Source organism: Homo sapiens, chromosome 9 (assembly GCF_000001405.40).
Source record: "Homo sapiens chromosome 9, GRCh38.p14 Primary Assembly".
In the NCBI taxonomy this organism is placed as follows: Eukaryota; Metazoa; Chordata; class Mammalia; order Primates; family Hominidae; genus Homo; species Homo sapiens.
The window spans coordinates 105,928,616-105,951,452 of record NC_000009.12 but is presented as its reverse complement, the minus strand read 5'-3'; the positions used below and the strand labels follow the sequence as shown (position 1 = coordinate 105,951,452).

The following is a 22,837-nucleotide window of genomic DNA, read 5'->3' as shown; positions in this document are numbered from 1 at the left end:
TATCAAAGGAATAGTTAATATATCATGACTAAGTGGTATTTATTCCAGTAATGCAAGGTTGGTTTAACATTTAAAAAAAAAATGCAATTCACCATATTAACAAAATAAAGAAGAAAAAAAACCCAAGGGGGGCTGGCCAAGATGGTCCACAGAAGCAGCTAGTGTGCACTGCTGTCATGGAGGGAAATAGAAGGGGCAAGTAAACATAGCACCTTCAACTGAAATACTCAGTTACACACATTGAGATTAATTAAAAAAAAAAAACCACCTTGACTGACAGAAAACAGAACAGAAAAAAGCAAGGCAGGACTGCTTACGCAGGAGCAACAAAGAACAAGGAGCCAGGGGAGTCTCCCCTGCCCAGGGAAGTGGTGAGTAAGTGAGTGACCCTGGGGACCCACACTACTCCCATAAATCTTTGCAAACCTCAGGTCAGGAGACTCCCTTGTGAACCCACTCCACCAGGGCCCACAGTCTGACATGCAGAGCTACATGGAGTCTCAGCAGAGCAGACCCTCAGGCATAAGTAGAGCCCTGTGAGCTTTAGATGCCCAGGCTTTCCAGCAAAGCAAGAGGTTAGGCCCCTGTACAGACCCCTAGGAAAAAGGCTGAATCCAGGGGGTTGAGCAGCAACAGTCTGCAGGCCCTGTTTCCATAACACCTCACAAGATAAGATCCACTGGCTTGGAACTCCAGCCAGCCATGGGTAGCAGTGTTACACATCCCTGAGATAGAGCTCCCAGAGGGAGAGGTGGGCCACCATCTTTGCTGTTTCACAGCCTTAGCCATTGATGCCTTCAGGCTCTGGGGAATCCGAGGCAACCAAGGGACTGGATTGATTGCCCTGCACAGTGTAGCAGCTCTGTGAAGAGTCAGCGAGACTGCTTTTTCACATGGGTCCCAGATCCCATTTCTCTTCACTGGATGGAATCTCCCAACTGAGGTCTACAACCACCCTCACCAGTGTTTTCCAGATGGCAGCAATTCCAAACCTGTCTGGGACAGAGCCCTCAGAGGGAGGGGTAAGCCACCATCTTTGTTGACTTGCAGTCTCAGCCATTGTCACCTTCAGGCTTTAGAGAGTCTGAGGTGACTAGAGGCTGGAGCAGACCCCCAACACAGCACAGTTGCTCTATCAAAATGTGCTTTTATACAGTTTCCTGACCCCATTTTTCCTCACTGGGCAGGACCTCCCAGCCCAGGCCCCCAGCACCCTACCCCACCAGCATGTCTGAGCCAGCAATAGATCCATACCTGGAGCTCCCAAAAGAAGGGGCAGATCACCATCTTTGCTGTTTTGTAGTCTTTACTGTTGATATCTTCAGGTACTGCAGCAGCCCTGTGGAAAAGTTTCCAGACTGTTTGTTACATGGGTTTCCAATCCTGTATCTCCTCACTGGGCAGGTTCTCCTGGTGTGGGTCTCCAGCCACCCAAACTGGAACAATCAATCCAGTAGCAACTCTGCAACCCCTTGGAAGAGAGCTCCCAGTAGGAGGCATAGGTTGCCATCTTGGCTGTATCACAGCCCTGGTCCTTGCTTTTTCCATATCTGGAGAGTCTGTGGGACCAGGGACTGGTCCAGATGCCCAGCACAGAGCACCTACCTCATGCAAAAGTGAGGTCTTGGTTCTCACTTCTCCTCACAGAGTAAGGCTGCCCAACCTGGGACTCCAGCACCCTGCCTCTGTCCTGACCACTTCAATCAGAGGCAGCCCAGCAGTTAAAGGGACAGCCACACACAGAGATGAGAAAGAACCAATGCAAGAACTCTAGCAACTCAAATGGCCAGAGTGTCTTATGTCCTCCATATGGCCACACTAGTTCTCCAACAAGGGCTCTTAACCAGGTTGAATTCACTTGCATTACAGAAGTAAAATTTAGAATATGGATAGGAATGAAGATCACTGAGATTCAGGAGAATAGCAAAACCCAATCCAAGGTAACTAAGAATCACAACAAAACAATACAGGAACTGAAAGATGAAACACACAGTATTTTTTAAAAAAACTAACTGATCTGACAGAGCTGGAGGACACACTATGTTAATTTCACAATGCTATTGCAAGTATTAAGAGCAGAATAGACCAAGCTGGGGAAAGAATCTCAGAACTTGAAGACTGCCTCTCTGCATTAAGACAGTCAGAAAAAAATAAAGAAAAAATAAACATGAATGAACAACACCTCTAAGAAATATGAAATTATGTAAAAAGGCCAAATATATGAATCATTGGCATCACTTAAACGAACAGAGAGAAAGCAAACAATTTGGAAAACATATTTCAGGATATAGTGCATGAAAACTTCCCTAACCTTGCTAGAGAGGTCAACAGTCAAATTCAGGAGATACAGAGAACCCCTGCCAGATCCTACACAAGAGGATCAGCCCCAAAAAACATAATCAACAGATTTTCTAAGGTTGAAATGAAAGAAAGAATGTTAAAGACAGCTAGAGAGAAAGGGTAGGTCACCTGCAAAGGGAACCCCATCAGGCTAACAACAGACCACTCAGCAGAAACTCTACAAGCCAGAGGATATTGAGGTTCTATACACAACATTTTTAAAAAACAAAATCTTCAACCAAGAATTTTACATCCAGCCCAACTAAGCTTCCTCAGTGAAAGAGAAATAAGATTCTTTTCAGATAATCAAATGTGGAGGGAGTTTGTTACCACCAGACCCACCTTACAAGAGATCTTGAAAGGTGCACTAAATATGAAAAGGAAAGACCATTACTAGCCAATACAGAAACACACTTATGCACATAGACCAATGACACTGTAAAACAACCATGCAAACAAGCAGGCATAATAACCAGCTAACAACACGATGACAGGATAAAATTGACACATATTAATACTAACCTTGAATGTAAGTAGGCTAAATGGCCCCATTTAAAAGGCACGGAGTGGCAAGCTAGATAAAAAAGCAAGACCCAATGGTATACTGTCTTCAAGAGACCCATCTCACGTGCAATGACACCCACAGGCTCAAAATAAAGAGATAAAGGAAAAATCTACCAAACAAATGAAAATTAGAAAAAAGAAGCAGGGTTGCAATCCTAATTTCTGACAAAACAGACTTTAAACCAACAACGATCAAAAAAGAGAAATAAGGGCATTACATAATGGTAAAGGGTTCAACTCAACAAGATCTGACTATCTTAAATATATATGCACCCAACACAAGAACACCCAGATTCATTAAGCAAGTTCTTAGAGATGTACAAAGACACTTAGAATCCCACACAATAATAGTGGGAAACTTCAACACTCCACTAACAGTATTAGACAGATCATTGAGGCAGAAAATTCACAATGACATTCAGGACTTAAACTCAACATTGAACCAAATGGATGTGATAGACCTCTACAGAACTCTCCAGCCAGAAACAACAGAAAATACATTCTTCTCATTGCCACATGTCACATACTCTAAAATCAACCACGTAATCAAAATTGAGGGAAAAAAGTCACTCAAAACCATGGAATTACATGGAAATTAAACAACCTGCTCTTAAATGACTTTTGGGTAAATAATGAAATTAAGGCAGAAATCAAGAAGTTCACTGAAACTAAAGAGAACAAAGATACAACATACCAGAATCTCTGGGAAACAGCTAAGGCAGTGTTAAGAGGGAAATTTATAGCACTAAACACCCACATCAAAAAGTTAGAAAGAACTCAAATTAACAACTAATATCAAAACTAAAAGAACTAGAGAAGCAAGAGGAAACCAACCCCAAAGCTAGCAGAAGATAAATAACCAAAATCAGAGTTGAACCAAAGGATATCAAACAAAAAAAAATTTTAGAGATTAATAAATCTGGGAGTTGGCTTTTTAAAAAAAATCAATAAGACAGGCCACTAGCTACACTAATAAAGCAGAAAAGAGAAAAGATCCAAATAAACACAATCAGACTTGAAAAGGGGGATGTTGTCACTAACCCCACAGAAATATGAATAATCATCACAGATTACTATGAACATCTCTATGCACACAAGCACAAAAACTAGAAGAGTTGGATAAATTCCAGGACACACGCAAGACTGAACCAGGAATAAACTGAATTCCTGAACAGACAATAATGAGCTCCAAAACTGAATCAGTAATAAATAGCCTACCAACCAAAACCAAAACAAAACAAAAAAACTCAACCCAGGGCCAGATGAATTCACAGACGAATTCTACCAGATGTACAAAGAAGAGATGGTACCATTCCTACTAAAACTATTCCAAAAAATTAGGAGGGACTCCGCCACAACTCATTCTATGAGGCCAGCATCATCCTAATATCAAAACCTGACAGAGATATAACAAAAAAATAAAACTTCAGGCCAATATCCTTAACGAAGTTTGATGCAAAAATCCTTAACAAAATACTGCAAACCAAATCCAGTAGCACTTCAAAAATCATGATCTACCACGACCAAATAGGCTTTATTCCCTGGGATGCAAGGTTGGTTCAACATATGTGAATCGATAAATGTGATTCATTACATAAACAGAACTTAAGACAAAAACCATGTGGTTACCTCAATAGATACAGAAAAGGCTTTCAATAAAAGTCAACATCCATTCATGCTAAAAACTCTCAATAAATTCAGTACTGAAGTAACATACTTCAAAATAATAAGAGCCATCTATGACAAACCCACAGCCAACATCACACCAAATGGGCAGAAGCTGGAAGCATTCCCCTTGAAAACTGGCACAAAATGGCCAGGTGCGGTGTCTTACACCTGTAATCCCAGCACTCTGGGAGGCCAAGGCAGGCAGGTCACGAGGTCGGGAGATCAAGACCATCCTGGCCAACATGGTGAAATCCCGTCTCTACCAAAATATAAAAAATTAACCAGGTGTGGTGGCATGCGCCTGTAGTCCCAGCTCATCAGGAGGCTGAGGCAGGGGAATCACTTGAACCCAGGAGGCAGAGGTTGCAGTGAGCCGAGATCACGCCACTGCACTCCAGCCTGGTGACAGAGTGAGATTCCCTCTCAGAAAAAAAAAAAAAGAAAACTGGCACAAGATAAGGATGACCCCCTCTCACCACTCCTATTCAACTTAGTATTGGAAGTTCTGGCCAGAGCAATCAGGGAAGAGAAATAAAGGGCATCCAAATAAGAAGAGTAGAAGACAAACTTATTCCTGTTTGCAGATGATATGATCATGATTCTGTATCTAGAAAACCTCATAGTCTTGGCCCAAAAGCTTTTTTAGCTGATAAACAACTTCAGCAAAGTTTCAGGATAGAAAATCAACATACAAAAATCACTAGCATTGCTACACACTCGACAACAGCGAAGACAAAAACCAAATCAGAAACACAAATCCCATTCACAATTACAACAAAAAGAATAAAATACCTAAGAATACAGCTAACCAGAGAGATGAAAGATCTCTACAATGAGAATTACAAAACATTGCTCAAGGAAATCAGAGATGACACAAATGGAAAAACATTCCATGTTCATGGATATGCAGAATCAATATAACTAAATATATTTAAAATGGCCATACTGCCCAAATAAATTTGCAGATTTGATGCTGTTTCTATCAAACTACCAATGAAATTATTCACAGAACTAGAAAAAACTATTTTAAAATTCATGTGGAACCAAAAAAGAGCCCAAATGGCCAAGGCAATCCTAAGCAAAAAGAACAAAGTTGCAGGCATCTTGTTGCCCAATGTCATACTGTTTTTGTACCAGTACTATGCTGTTTTAGTTATAGGCCAATAAAACAGAATAGAGAGCCAGGAAATAAGGCCACACATCTATAACCATCTGATTTTTTTGACAAAAACAAACAATCGGGAAAAGACACCCTACTTAATAAATGATGCTGGGATAACTGGCTAACCATATGCAGAAAACTGAAAATGGACCCCTTCCTTACACCATATAGAAGAACCAACTCAAGATGGACTAAAGACTTAAATGTAAAACTGAAAACTATAAAAAAAACCTAGAAGGCAACTTAGGCAATGACATTCTGGACATAGGAACTGGCAAATATTTCATGATGAAATCACCAAAAGCAATTGCAACAAAAGCAAAAATTAATAAATGGGATCTAATTAAATTTTAGAGCTTCTGAACAGCAAAATAAACTGTCAAAAGAGTAAACAGACAACCTACAAAATGGGAGAAAATTTTTGCAAATTATGTACCTGACCAAGGTATAATAACTAGCATCTATAAAAAATTTAAACAAATTTACAAGAAAAAAACAACCCCATTAAAACGTGGGCAAAGGACATGAAAAGACAGTTTTCAAAAGAAGACATACATGCAGCCAACAACCATATTTTTAAAAGCTCATTATCACTGATCATTAGAGAAATGCAAATCAAAACCACAGTGAGATATCATCTCACACTAGTCAGAATGACTATTACTAAAAAGTCAAAAAATAATAGATGCTGGCAAGGTTGTGGAGAAAAGGAACACTTACATGCTGTTGGTGGGAATGTAAATTGTTCATGTGGAAAGCAGTGTGGCAATTCCTCAAAGAGCTAAAAACAAAACTACCATTTGTCCCAGCAATCCTATTTCTGGGTATACACCCAAAGGAATATAAATCATTTTACTCTAAAGACACGTGTACGCATATGTTCATTTCAGCACTATTCACAAGAGCAAAGACATGAAACCAACCTAAATGTGGTAGATTGGATAAAGAAAATGTAGTACATATAAACTATGGAATACTACACAGCCATAAAAAGAATAATGATTAGACGGGAATAAATAAAACTGTCTCTATTTGCAAATAACATGACTACTTATGTAAAAAACCCTCAGGATGATACCAAAAAACTACTAGAACTAACGAGGGAATTTATCAAGATCTCAGATTATAGAATTAAATTTTTAAAAATCAAGATAAAATCAACATTAATTGAATTTTTACATATTGCCAGCATACAATTGGAACACAAATTTTCAAAATTGCATTTATAATAGCACGAAATAAATATAATATCTTTAGGAATAAATTTAACAAGTGAGACAAGACTCCTATAACAAAAAGAACAAAATTTTGCTGAGATAAATTAGCAAAGATCTAAATAAATGGAGAGGTATACCATGTTCATGGATTAGAAGACAATATAATTAAGATGTCTCTTTCCAAATGTATCTATGGTTTTAACATAATGCCAAAAAATTTCAGCAGAACTTTTTGGTAGAAAATTACAAGTTAATTATACATTTTATATGGAAATCAAAATGACTTAGAAAATAAAAAGCATTTTTGAAATAGAAGAAAAAATTGGTATACTTACACTGCCTGATTTTGAGTCTTACTCTTAAGACCCAGTAATCAAAACAATGTAGTAGTGCCAAAAAGATAGACATATAGATCAATTTGTATAGAATATAGAACCAAGGAATAAATTCATATATATTTGATTAGTTTTCAATAAAGGTGCTGAGGTAATTTTAAAAAGAAATGAAAGTTTTCTCCCCAAATTGTGCTGGAACAAGTAGATACCCTTAGGTGAAAAAATTAACATTGACCCTTACCTTATATCATAAACCAAAATTAATCAAAATTGTCCATAGGCCTAAATGTGATGGAACAAAAGAGAAGCAAAGAAGAAAATCCTTGCAACCTCAGGGTAGATAATAATTTCTCAGATAGGACACAAAACCACAAACCATTCAAATAAATTGGTAAATTAGATTTCATCAAAACCTGAAAGTTTTGTTTATCTAGACACCTTGAAAAAATGAAGAGATAAGCCATATAATGGGATAAAATATTTGTAATCTGACAAAGAGCTAGTATTCAGAATACATAAAGAATTCTTACAACTCAATGAGAAAACTGACAGAATTGTGAACAAAAGACTTGAACAGACACTTCACATAATACAGATGCTCCTCAACTTAAATTAAGCTTACAGCCTACTAAAATATTATTTCAATTGTGCATGAGAGTTCTTTCATGATTTGACAGTCTGCTTGTGTATTGTTGGTGTATAGGAATACTTGTGATTTTTACACATTGATTTTTGTATCCTGAGACTTTGCTGAAGTTGCTTATCAGCTCAAGAAGCTTTTAGGCTGAGACAATGGCGTTTTCTAGCTATAAGATCATGTTATCTGCAAACAAAGACAATTTGACTTTCTCTCTTCCTATTTGAATATGCTTATTTTGCTCTCTTGCCTGCTTGCCATGGCCTGAACTTCCAATACTATGTTGAATAGGAGTGGTGAGAGCGGGTATCCTTGTCTTGTGCAAGTTTTCTAGGGGAATGCTTCCAGCTCTTGCCCATTCAGTATGATATTGGCCATTAAAGGAAGAAACCTAATGTGCTTATTCCAAAAGATAGCTGTTTCAGTTCAGGCTGAGAGATACCTCTCCTTTTTTACTCTACCTTTGATACTTCAACAATAACCAAAGTGGATAAAAAATATAAATTATTCCTGTGGGAAAGCTTTCTCCCACACTGCCCACCATGCTTAGTATTTCAAAAGGCAAAAGAAGGTTTTGAAAAGTAATCACCAGCAGAGCCAGGGACCAAAGAACTCTACTCACTTTGTTTTTTGGCAAATGTCAAGCTCTGCTATATATATCTTTGTTAAAAGGAATATACTCATTTGAAAGATGTAAAAATCAAGCTTGAGAATTTAGAAGTTTCTGAAACGGAAGGAAAAATAGCACAGCACTCAGGATACAAAGAAGAATATAATGGACCCTACTGTATTGACTGTCCATTCTTTGTTCACGTTTTCACTGTCTTTATAGGCCTTGGTGGGAGACAGAGGACACCTTCTACTACTGTTGCTGAAAGATCAGAAACTTGCTTTACCAGACATACTTGCAGTTAGACCACGGACATGTAATCTAGGTTCAGCCAATCATGTGCATGCTTCCTGAACTACGAACCAGTGTCTAGTGATGCAAAAAGCAGAACAGTGGAGAATCCATTTGGATGGCAGAAGGGCAACCATGGCAGCAACATAGTTTCTGGAGGAAATAATGACAGAGGTGGAAGCTGTGGCACTGGGTGCTTGGCAAAAATAGCGGATAATGCTCACCTGACCAGTTCTGCGGTGTGATTTTACAGGATTCCAGCCATGTCACCTCTAGGTTCAGTTATCCAGTGCATGCCCTCTATTCAACAATCCAGAGACTACCCAACATCAATACTCTCAACTTAAATTAGCCAAAGTCAGTTTCTTCCACATTAAACTAAGAACCCTGACTGATTCAAACAGCTGTCTTCTGAAAATTATTTATACAGAAGACTAAAGAAATGTAGAAATCATAAATTTTAGTTTTTAATTAGGTTCAAAAGAACACAGATACCATTAAGCAAATAAAAATTGAGAGTATCAGGTGTTAGATGCAACTTTAAAAATAGGTGAACGAAATACAGAGACATAAAGATAAGCTTGCTGAGATGAGAAGGAAACTAGAAATGAAATAACACAATTAAAATCTACATTAGAAGCAGAAAATATAATCATAGACACTGTAGAAAATCAAATTAATTGCCTAAAAACAAATCTGGAAAATCCTTCAAAAATGCAAATGGCAGGGAAGAGAAGAAAATAAAATGAGAGAAGATGGATAGATGTAGAGGTGAGAAAAGAAATCAAATCTGCAGATAGTTGATATTCCTAAAAATGAGGCCAAAATAAATGGAACAAAATTGAAATAGAGCAAAAATCAAAGATAAAGGTGGGGGAAAAAAACCTTCCAGCATTAAAGAAAAATTTATGTCTACTAAATAAAAAGATTTAAAAGTACCAGTCAACACTGATTAAAAAGAGGGCAACAGCCAGAAAGAACAATTGCCAAACATAAAACAAATATAAATTATTTTAAAATATAAAAACATAGAGTCTTCTCAGATTTCTCCTTAAAACTAAACACCAAAAAAAAAAAAAAAAAAAAATAGAGCAAATTCTTCAGTTTTTTAAAGGAAAAACATGGTAACTGTGATGGTCAATTTTATGTGTCAAGTTAACTGAGCTAAGGGATGCCCAGATATCTGGTAAAACAAGATTTCTGGGTGTATTTGTGGAGGTGTTCCCAGAAGAGATTAGCATTTAAATCAGTAGACTGAGTAAAGAAGATCCACCCTCACCAATGTGGGCGGTCATCATCCAACCCATTGAGGGCCTCAGTAGAACAAAAAGGCTAAAGAAGAGTGAGTTTTCCCTCTTCTTGAACTGGGACATTCATCTTCTCTGGCCCTCGGACATCAGAGTTTCTGGTTCTCAGGCCTTTGAACTCAAACTGAATTACACCACTAGCTCTCCTGGTTCTCAGCTTATAGACGGCAGATGGTGAAACTTCTTGGCATTCATAATCACCTGAGCCAATTCCCATAATAAATATATCAATATAATAAATAAATGTGTGTATAAATATGTTTATATACATAAATAATGACTAAATAATGACACAGTGATTAAAAGTGACTCAATCAGAAAAACTAGGAAGATATTCTCTGACAAAAATAGGACTAATAGAGATTATGACCCAGATACAACTCAGAAAAAGTAAAAAAGTACTTGAAGATAGATCCTAACTCATCAAGAGTTAACTCAAAACAAAAAAGTCAAAAATGAAACTTCCATAGTATTAAAAAACTGGACATTATGTGAAATCAGTAAACATAGAACTCAGGGTAACCAAGTATTATAAATGTGGCTAGAAAATAGAATATTATCTTAAAAGAAAATAAATACAAAAGTGAAAAAGATAATTTAATAATAGCTCTGTGTCAATAGACAGTGTTATCAGAGTCCGGAAATGGGTAGGGGAAAAGATAAGAGTAGCAAAAACATGTTTATTTCATTACTATATGTCGGAAAAATTAAAATTGTTACGTTGATTTGTAGAGTAATATAGATAGAAGTAGGATTACTAAAACCAAAGAAATCAATGTCCATAGAGCAAAAAATTGGAAATCAAAAAAAGTTTTAAAAAAAATAAAAATAAATGACAGACATGTCATTATCAAAATATACCTAATTTAGACTTCCATATTATAATTTAGACTTCTCTTACCTAGTGTTAAGAAGACTCTCAAGGATGTCAGTTAAGAAGATTCTCAACACTAGGTGAAATTCTTAACACCAGGTAAGATAAGTCTAAATTATAATATGTTAAGAAAATTCTTAACATTAGGTAAGAGATCAAATTCATATTCTCAGCAAGAATGCTTTGGAGAGATTAACAAAAGTGTTGGTCAAAAAAGAGAAAAACAAAAGAGAAGAGCAGAGATGACTATTAATATCAAAAAAATAAGAATTTAAGGCAAAAAATGCAATGTAAGAGAAAATGCCAATATATAGTGATAATGGTCACAACACATATTGAAGGTAGAACAATCGTGGTTATATAAGTGGTGAATAATATCAAAATATCTAAAAACAAAACTTGTAAATATACATGAGAAAGATATTTAATGTTGTAAAATTTTTACAGTAATTAATAAAAGAACTGAAAAGTTTCATTTAACTATTAGAAATTGGGAAAGGGAAAATAAATAATGTAAGGATGTTAATTCTCACTGTCCATAGTGCAGAGTCAATTAATATTACCTACAATTGATAAATCAAGTAATGGCAGCATAAACACATTATAAGGAGGTGTGAAAACAATCCCCAAAGAAAGTAAAAACACAAAGGCAAGAGACAGAGTAAGAATAAGAAAAGGTTGACAGGTTAACTCTTGCTTTTCAGACAAACTCATTTGTGCTATTTAATTTTTTCTAGATGTATAAATTTTCTTGAAAGATTTTTGTTTTTTTCTTTTTTTCTTTTTGAGACAGAGTCTCGCTTTGTCATCCAGGCTGGAGTACGATGGCACTATCTTGACTCACTGCAGCCTCTGCCTCGCAGGTTCAAGCTATTCTTGGGCCTCAGCTTCCTGAGTAGCTGGGACTACAGGCGCTTGCCATCACGGCTGGCTAATTTTTGTGTATTTAGTAGAGACAGGGTTTCTCCATGTTGGCCAGGCTCCTGACCTCAAGTGATCCGCCCACCTCAGCCTCCCAAAGTGCTGGGATTACAGGCCTAAGCTACAGTGCCTGGCCTTGAAAGTTTTTTTAATTGACACATCATAATTGTATACATGGGGTACATAGTGATGCTTTGATACACACAATGTCTAGTGATCAGATCAGGGTAATTATCATATCCATCATCTCAAACATTTATCATTTTTTTTATGTTGGGAACACAAAGTTTAATCATGAAAAACCACATGAATCCCCCAAATCATCAATTGTACAAGTCACATTTTTTGACTGCGGCATAATGAAATTTAAAATTAAAAGAATGTTTATGCAAATAAAGAAAAACAACTGTTTTGAAATCTTAAAAATTATGTTGTAAATAATCATTAATGGCAAATCCAAATTACAGTGTAATTAGAGAATAGGAATAGTGGACATATTACATTACAAATTTATGCAGTGCAGCCAAATTTATCACTGGAGCCAGATTCACAGCCTTAAAAATGATATCAAGAAAAGACTGAAAATAAAACAACTAATCAGTAGCAAAAGAAGTTAGAAATGAAGAACAGCAAAGCAAATCTCATAGAAGGAAAAAAAGAAAAATACGAATGGAGTATCTCTATTTTGAAAACAAATAGTGATATTACATATGTGCAACTATTGTGTATCAATTTTTAAGTGAAAAAAAGTAAATATAATAAAAGGTAACTTGCACCACCAGATATCAAGATGTACTACACAAGTATAATGATTAAAACCATAGAATAGACATACTAATAAATAAAAGTGAGTAGATATACTACGTTGAAATTCACATAAGCATTGAATATTTAATTACATTTCAATTCAAATAAGTGAAAATAGAGTTAAATATTTAATAATTTATTTGGGGAAGATTTTATATAGAAATAAGAAGGAAAATCTTACAAATTAACAAATGTAATATGTTCCTCGATGGAACATTAATTGTAATGTTGGAAACACAAAAACTCTATTCAATATAGTATAAGATGTTGATAAAATTCCAATCACTTAGTTGGACTTTTATGGGTTTGTCAAAATAACTTAGGAGTTTATCTGAAAGAAAATATTGGTAGTAATAACTGAACATTTTGGAGGAGAAAAGGTGAGGAGGTAGCAACTGCCATATCAATAATAAAATATTCCATAGAGATACAGTAATCAAAACAGTATGGTAATGTTTTTAAAACCAGAGAAATATGATAGAAATTACAGAAATAAACCTCTAGTATGTAAAAGAATTTAGGAAATGATAATAACTTCACAAGTAAATAGAAGGAAAAAGGATTATTCAAGAAATTGACCAGATTTAGAAAAAATTTCTGTCTGAATCTTTACATCACATTTATCCAGAAATAAAACTCAGATGAATAAAAGAGCTAAATGTAAAAAATGAACTCAGGAAATATTTGAAAGAAAAATATATTAGAAAACATGTTTGGGGATTGAAGAAAAATGTTATGCTTTTCTTGTAAAAGCAATGGAGGAAGTCTCAAAGAAAAGTGGGATAAAGCGGCCCTCATGAAAATTTAAATCTTGCATGTATATATATTTAAAACAAAAGTAGACCAGGCACAGTGGCTCTCACCTGTAATCCCAGCACTTTGGGAGGCTGAGGCAGGCGGATCAATTGAGTCCAGGAATTTGAGACCAGCCTGGGCAACACGGTGTAATAAAATTCTGTCTCTACTGGTGAGGTGAGGTCAAGGCTGCAGTGAGCCATGATCATACTACTGCACTCCAGCCTGGGCAACAGAGTGAGACCCTGTCTCAAAAAAATAAAAGGCAAATATAAAACTAGGGAAAAGATTAGCACCACTAATAAATAAATAACAGCCCTTACAAATCAGTGTAAAAAAAATCACACAACAGAAACACAGACAAAAGGCACACACAATTGACAAAAGACTAAGTCATTAACAAAAATATTAATACATATTCATTATCACAAGGAGTCAAATAAATATAAATAAAGCATTTATTCTTTTTTTTTCTTTTTTTTTTTGAGATGGAGTCTCGTTCTGTCACCCAGACTGGAGTGCAGTGGCATGATCTCAGCTCACTGCAACCTCTGCCTCCCAGGTTCACACAATTCTCCTGCCTCAGCCTCCCAAGTAGCTGGGATTACAGGCACACATCACCATGCCTGACTAATTTTTTTTGTATTTTTAATAGAGACGGGGTTTCACTATGTTGGCCAGACTGGTCTCGAACTCCTGACCTCGTGATCCACCCGCCTCAGACTCCCAAAGTGCTGGGATTACAGGCATGAGCCACCACGCCCAGCCAACTAAGGCATCTTTTTTACCATCACTTTGGGCTTGTTATTTCTTTCCTAGCACTATTGCAATATAAAATTACTTGTTTGTTTATTGTCTCTCTATGCCAATTAAACAGTAAACTCCTTGAGGGCAGGAGCATTGTCTCTCTTTTTCACAATTGTCCTTAACACTTAACATAATGCCTGGTACACAGGGGTGCTCAATAAATGTTTGTACCATAAGTAAATTAACAGACTTATTTTTTTCTCACTATTAAACATTTTTATAGCACTAACTGCCTGGCATTGTTGTACAAATATCAACATATTTTATTCTCAGAGAAACCCACTGAAGTATTTTATCATTAGTTTACAGACTCAAAAACCAAGGCACAGATTAATGAGATAACTAACCCAAGATCATAGAGCTGGTAAATAATAGAACCAGGGTTTAAACTGAGGCATTCTGATTCCAGTCTCTATGTTCTTAAGCACCATACTTTCAACCTAATATGTATTATATATGATTATCTTCTGCAATTTCATCTGTGATCTCTGGTTATTTCAAGAAAACCTTAGAGATCACAAATCATTATGTTAGGTATAGACTAGCAATATTAGCAAATTTCAGAAATGCAGTCATAGTTATCTGTTCACATCAGTGACTTCATTTGTTACACTTTTGCTTGTGTGCATGCTTTATTTTTTAATAAACTTAGTTTAGAACACCTTTAAATTTACAGAAAAATTGTGAAGATACATCCCACACCCAGTTTCCCCTATTATAAGCATCTTCCATTAGTATGGTAAACTTGAGACAAATTATTAATCAATATTGATACACTATTATTTATTAACTCCATATTCAGATTTCCTTGATTTGACCTAACATTTCTGTTCCCAGATCCCATCCAGGAGACCATATTGCATGTAGTTATCATGTCTCCTTAGGCTCCTCTTGGCTGTGACAGTTTTTCAGATTTTCCTTGTTGTTGATGACTTTGACAGTTTTGAGGAGCACTAATCAGGTATTTTGTAGAATGTCTCCCTCTTGGATTTGCCTGATGCATGATTATACTGGGTTTATGGGGTTTGGGGAATAGATTTATTTTTAATGATACAACTCAAGACTGGCAACGGTGCATTAAGATGAGCATTCTCATATATGGTGAGAGTAAAAATTGCTAAACCTTTCCTAGAAATAATTTTAGTAATAAGACTATCCTTAACGAAACCAAGTGATTCCACGTCTAAGACTCCTAAAAAAGTTTTCAGAGATAAGGGCAAGGATTGAGCTATCACTCTCTAAACCACACATAAGAGGAAATAGATGAATACAGCTATATAAGACACATGACTAGGAAAAATGTCTAGAGGGAGCTCTTTAAAAGGTTCACAATGTTCCTCTCTGGATGGTATAGTTATGAATGATTTTTACCTTTGTTCTTTTCTGTATTAAAAAATTTTTTTACAATGCACATATATTACATCTATCAGAGAAAACAATGTGACTTTTTTTTAAGAAAGTCACATAAATACATATTTTAGCTCTAACTATTGTTTTCAGGCCAAGGCTCATGATGGTGCCAAGGAAATCTGCAGCCATCTCCTGCATTCAAGATTCTCGAACTCTCTGCCACAGTTTGGCCTAGTATCTGGACCTGTAGCCTCTTCGGGACACTCAGCTAGCAGAGTTGACATTAAGACTGTTGTTAGTCTATTCAATAATCGAATTCAGACTATTCAATAGTTGACGTTAAGACTGTTTTCTCCTTACACTTGTCATCTGACTTACAGAATACTTATATTTACATACAGGTTTTTCTCTTTTATTCTTTTTGTTTTCGTTTGTATGTGTGTTTTCTTTCTTCCTTATCTCAATAAAATCAAGCTCAAGATCCTCATCCTGACAATTTTATCACTATTTGGCTAACCAGTACTTCCTTCACCTCAGTTCCCACAACCTTCCTTATGGTTTTTGATGTTTATCTCGAGTTTTTTGAGGGCCAGGTCAGATCTAATTCATCTTTGTTTTCACCATTAGTTCTCAATAAGTCTTCATTCAATAAGTTGAATAAATTTTAAAAAGTAATGCTCATCCATGGTTACTCTGAACGCACATCACCCACTATCCTGGTGCCATTCCCCTGCCTGGCCTACACTTTGGCCTTCTGTTCCCATGGGCATCATTGTCAATCCTTTGAGTGTTAGCGAATTCTGTGTTCCTTCTTGAATTCTCTCCTGTGAAGATCATTTGTCCTGGCCTCTGCTTCTTCTGATTTCCTAAGACTCTATTTGCATATTGTTATACACTATCTTATAGTGTCCCCTACTAATATCAAGTGTACCTGTGTCTCAGCCAGCATCCATTAGTGGGAAGTCTCCAGAATTTGATCTAAGAGAGACCTGGGATTACAAACCAACATTGCCACTACCATCTTGGAAAAGATAGTCAAGTTTTTATACTCTTTGAGCCTCTGGTTAGCATCTGTAAAATGGAAATAATAACTCAAAGAGGCTGCGCAAAGATTAACAGAAATAATACATATAAAAAAGAAGGCAAGATAAAAGCACTTTTATTCTTATTTTTACCATTATTAAGTCTTTTCCTCCCTGAAGATTTCATAGTTTGAGACCATGCCACTCCTCTGTATCTTCCAAAGCATCTCATCCAATATTTCTGACACAACTCAGTGTCACAGAAGTTAGACAACATGTATTATTATACCATATGACCTTGAGCAAGTCACTTGACCTCTCTGAGTTTCCTTATGTGTTAAATAAGGGTTATATTATAATATCTTCCCTACTTATCTCATTGTTAGTGCCAATAAAAAGATGAGGCTGGGTGCAGTGGCTCACACCTGTAATCCCAGCACTTTGGGAGGCCAAGGTGGGGCGGATCACAAGGTCAGGAGATCGAGGCCACCCTGGCTAACACGGTGAAACTCTGTCTCTACTAAAAATACAAAAAATTAGCCGGGCATGGTGGCGGGCACCTGTAGTCCCAGCTACTCAGGAGGCTGAGGCAGAATGGCATGAACCCGGGAGGCAGAGCTTGCAGTGAGCCGAGATTGTGTCATTGCACTCTAGCCTGGGTGACAGAGCGAGACTCTGTCTCAAAAAAAAAAAAAAAAGTATTGGGGGAACCCACCCCCAGTATTTCAACGTAGGTTCTTTCTATTTTCCATAAGTGTCAGCTGGCTGAGAAATAAAGAGAGACAGTATAAAGAGAGGAATTTTACATCTGGGCCGCCGGGAGTGACATCACGTATCGGTAGGACTTTGATGCCTGCCTGAGTCTCAGGCCAGCAAGTTTTTATTAAGGGTTTCAAAAGGGGAGGGGGTGTAAGAACAGGGAGTAGGTACAAAGATCACATGCTTCAAAGGTCAAAAAGCAGAACTACTAATAAGGGTCTAACAACGATCACAAGGCAAAGGGCAAAAGCAGAACCACTGATAAGGGTCTATGTTCAGCAGTGCACATATTGTCTTGATAAACATCTTAAACAACAGAAAGCAGGGTTCGAGAGCAGAGAACCGGTCTAACCACAGATTTACCAGGGCGGAGTTTTTCCCCACCCTAGTAAGCCTGAGGGTTCTGCAGGAGACCAGGGAGTATCTCAGTCCTTATCTCAACTGCACAAGACAGACATTCCCAGAGTGGCCGTTCATAGACCTCCCCCTAGGAACGCATTCTTTTCCCAGGGTATTAATATTAATATTCCTTGCTAGGAAAAGAATTTAGCGATATCTTTCCTACTTGCACGTCTGTTTATAGGCTCTCTGCAAGAAGAAAAATATGGCTCTTTTTGCCAGACCCCGCAGGCAGTCAGACCTTATGGTTGTCTTCCCTCATTCCATAAAAATTGCTGTTATTCTGTTCTTTTTCAAGGTGCACTGATTTCATATTGTTCAAACACATATGTTTTACAATCAATTTGTACAGTTAACACACTTATCACAGTGGTCCTGAGGTGACGTACATCCTCAGCTTACAAAGATAACAGGATTAAGAGATTAAAGACAGGCATAAGAAATTATAAAAGTATTATTTGGGAACTGATAAATGTCCATATTAATATGAAATCTTCACAATTTATGTTCCTCTGCTTTGGCTCCAGCCAGTCCCTCCATCTGGGGTCCCTGACTTCCCACAACAAAAAAGATGATGATGCACTAGATCTTTTGAACTTGTAAAGCACCTACAACTTTTAAAATGTGACTGTGAGCTTTAGTTATTATCAAATATACTCAATATATACATATTGACTTGGAGTACCCTGATTCAGCCTCTTTTCAAATTTTGCTTAGTCCATTTTACCCCACAAGTTTTCCCATGAGGCTCAAAGAAAAGCTCCCTCCCTAAGCTACACTCATACCAACTCTGACCTGTCACACCAAACACTGAACTGAGATGCTAGACTCCTTTTCTCTTATGGATACCATTGTTCATACAACTGATCATGTTCTCCTCTGTACTTTGGCTATGAGGAGACCAGATGCAAATGTGTAGACCACCTCTAGCCACTATACAAGAAATTGTGTATTCTCATACTAACTATGCTCCTGGCTCCTAAGCCTTCTATTTTCTCTTTGACCTTGTCCTGCTACATGAATCTCTGCAAGCCCCCCCAAATTCCTTCTGAAATGAGAAAGGACAAAAATCTGCAATGAAAGCTCCATCTATTCACTGAAGACAATGCCCTATTTTCTATTGCAGGGTGCTATTATTCTATAGCAACTGTGACATCTATGTGGTCATTCATCAGCTCAATATCAATAGGAATGGGTGTGGTAGACTGTTCACAAAAATTGACACAACAGAGTGCTTTTCTGTATGAATTCTCCTTTGCAATGTATCTTTGCAACTGCTCCCATCAAAAGATGAAAGCTATTTCCCAACTTGTTTAATCAGGGTGGGTTTTGTGGCTTGTTTCAGCAAATAGAATGCAGCAAAAGTAATGTTAAGACAGTTTTGATACTCAAGAGAACTTGCACAGTTCTCCTCTCTCTCTTGAAATCCTGTCCAAACGTCAAGTAAACAAGCCCGGGTTATCCTGCTTGATGATGAAAGACATATGACCTAGCTGCCCCCATTTCTCCAGCCAATGGCCCACTAGTCCCCAAAAGAAAGCCACCCAGGTGATTGGTAGTAGATGTAAGACTGAGGCAATCCAAGACCAGAAGAATTACCCGAGTCCAGCCTGAGCTGCTGATCCATAGAATCATAATCTAAATCTATGTTTATTGCTTAAGCCATTAAATTTGGAAAGGTTTATAAGCAGAAAAAGTTAACTGATACAGTGATTGAGCTCTTTCACAAGGCATTATTCAGCCAAAGGAAAATAATCATTTAATGGTCATGAATACTACAGAGATATGAGATATAATCAGAATCCCTTTAAGACCATCCTCTTGGAAGGCACAACTCCATTGCACGTAAGAAAATGGCGTTTGTTTGAAAGAGAAAAGGAGCAAACATCCTCACCAACCAATATTCTTGCAGTGCTAGCTGACTGCAAGCTACTAACCGCAATACTCCACATCCTCTAGGGTCCCATTCCCCAGACGCTTCCACACTCTGTGTAACTGCAGAAGAGCCTTGCCTTCACTATTCTCAAAGCTTGGATTTCAAACATTCCAGATACCAGGCAGAAACCTACTTCTAGAGGATGGTTTCTAAGACCAGAAACTCCCAAGCTGCCTGCATTTAACGAGACCTAGAGAGGCGGTAAGGAGAAAGAAACAGAGCCAAAGTATAGCATAGTGCTAGGAGAGCAACCCTTGGTTCAGACAGACCTGAATTCCCACTCCACCCCTCATAAGTTTACCTATTGGACTTGGAGCTAGAAAACCTGCGTTCATTTCCAGAGTTCCTCCTTATTCACTTAGCCTCATTTTCATCATTTGCAAAGTGAAGAGCTTTGTTTTTTGTAGCCTTGAAAGTTAATTTTGAGATTAGAAATTTATTAATGTTCATTCTAAAAACTATAATTTTTTGAGCAAATTATTCAACCTATCTGACCTTCAGTAACCTCACCTTTAAAACAGGTTTAGTAAAACCTACCCCACAGTATTGATCTGTACATAAATTACCAAACACACTGCTGACATATAAATACTCAATAAACAGAAAGCAAGTTGGAAAAATGTTTGACTTTACTGTTCAGACCATGATTTTTCTCCTAGGATCCTATTGACAGCTTATTATTAAGAATTTTAATTTTTCTACTACATTCTCTATGAGTCCTTTTTATTAGGAGTACCTAAAAGTCAAGACTCTTATCTTCTTTTATTATATGTAAGCAAGAGAAGTTTAAAAACCAGAGAATGTTTTAAAAACTAGAACGTACCTTAGCCGAACCTGTAGTCTCAAAATTACTAATTTTCAAGACCGCAAAGAACACAGCTTCTATTTTGAAATAATGAAAATGAGATCCAGTGAATAAGTAAAATCTCCAGAAGTAAACCCAGGTTTTCTAATTCCAAGTCCACTTCTCTTTCCACAATTTAGAACAGTACCATCTTCACCCCAAGAACCTTAATAAATATTTGGCCATGGTGATAACAACAACAACAAAAATATTCTACAGGAAATGTTCCCAAGTCATTTCTCATCCATCCTTTTGGCTAGAAATCCAGATTAGCTTTTGTCACTGCCATATCATAGGCAGGCTTCACTCAAGACCCACTTATTGTCTGCAAATGTTGCTATAATTAAATCCAAGTGGCCGCTGTGAGTTATCATCACGTACCCTCTTCAGCCATTAGTCAGATTTCCAGGGCTGCAGTTCTTTATAAAGAGGTCACTCACTCTTCTCTTTCCCCTTGGCTATCCCAGCAGGTTTTTTCTTTCCATTTCTTGGGCAAGAAACTTTTAAGCCAAACTCATTTTCAGGCAATCGGCCAACCTTCCCATTTATCCCAGTGACCTTACAGCAGCCAGAATGTGTCTTGCCAGCATTGCTGATGAGCGTTGGGGAAAGTGAGAGGAAGAGCTCTAAAGCAGAGTCTCTGAGAGCAGTGAGGACCGGGGGCTGTTTCTAATAGAGTGCAGGACTGCTGTCATCATCATCACCATCAACATGAGAGTCAGAAATCCCTCCAGTTTGGAGCACATTACATACTTTTTCCCCCTGGATGTTTACAATAATCCTTCTAGCAAGGGTAAAGAGAAAACTGTAGAAGCTTTGAGCCAGATAGGATTATCAGAATCACCTCATCCAAGCTCTTCACTTTACAAATAAGGAATCTCAGACCCCATGAGAGAAAGTACCCGCCCATGATCATTTAGTGAAAATGGCAAAATGGGTCTCGATTCAAATTTCCCACCCAAATCTCTATTCAGGAAGCATCCCACTCTTTGCTCCTAGGATCCCAGAAGACTAATAAGCAATCGTAATGAAACAGGTCTTGAAGCTCTCCTGAAAGAAACCACTCTGCCACCATTTTTAATCAACACTTGGAGTTGACCTTACCTCTCAGTTCCAGGGCTAAGAATATTGCCCAGACCTGGATAATTAGAACACATCCTCCTTCTGGCCACAGTTAATGGTTTGGGGATAATTAAATGACCTAAATAAGCCCAATGAGAATAACCTCCAGGAATTTTGCTGAAGCTTTTAGAAAAGAATGTATTCTGGGTTCTCTAAAATGTTAAGTTGTAAGAGCTACAAAAGCCTTGAGTTGCCAGAGACCTTCTTTACTACCATTTAGAAAAAGCATTCCTTAGAGTGACTCCAACGTGGTAACATGATTTGAGCACCTGGATTCAACTATGCCTGAAGAACTAGAATTTTCAATTACATGTGTCAATAAATGTTATCTTTTTTAAAGACAGTCTGATTTGTTTTGTCATCATTTATAACCAAATGAATCCTGACTGAAACACCAGCTTTTCTTGATTACTTTCAATCATGAATGAAATGTTAAGACTCCCTTGGTACAACATAGCTTTTACCACAATCACTGACAACATGAGCACCCCTTCTTCTATCCACTTACACACCTATACCCAATGGACCCCCTAAAAGTAATTGTTCCCTGAGTCTTCCATAGAACTAATCACATTAATAAATTATTACCAGACATTGCTTTTTACATTATCTCTGACTATACCATCAAATTCTTTAAAATCCCCACAAGGAAAAATATACGCAATAATGAAACAAGAGGGCTTTTAGGACTCTGATCTACCTAATATAAAATGCCCAATTGTGAGAAAGTAAGTATCCAGTCCATCATCCAATTGTCTTGATACACACCCACCTCCCAGCCAAGGGGTTGTATTAATGATGTACACACACACAGGACAGCCCATTTAAAACACAGCCAGCCAAAAAGTCATGGCAGCGTTTTTTTTTTAATTCACTATAAAGTGCTGTTCTTAAGAAAACAAAATACTATTATTAAAACCATCCAGAAGGATATTGTCAAGCCACCTCGACAGTCACATCTGATTGGCCTTTTCCAAAAGACCTATCATCTAGGGGATGAAAAAGGTTATTGGAGAAGTTAATAAAGAATCTTCAAGAATCATCAAATGTTTACCATATGTTGTGGTGTG

At 37.2% G+C, this 22,837-nt stretch overlaps 1 long non-coding RNA gene across 2 annotated transcripts in view; it reads right to left on the bottom strand.

The window, feature by feature from the left end:
- Nucleotides 1-22,472, bottom strand: part of LOC107987108 (uncharacterized) — a 675,821-nt gene extending 653,349 nt beyond the window's left edge. For both annotated transcript variants that reach the window (XR_007061713.1, XR_001746870.2), the window contains exons 1-2: nt 20,625-22,472; nt 1,255-1,339 (exon numbers count right to left, since the gene is read on the bottom strand). This is a non-coding gene — a long non-coding RNA (uncharacterized LOC107987108). The remainder of the gene's footprint in view (nt 1-1,254; nt 1,340-20,624) is intronic.
- Nucleotides 22,473-22,837: the final 365 nt, after the last annotated feature.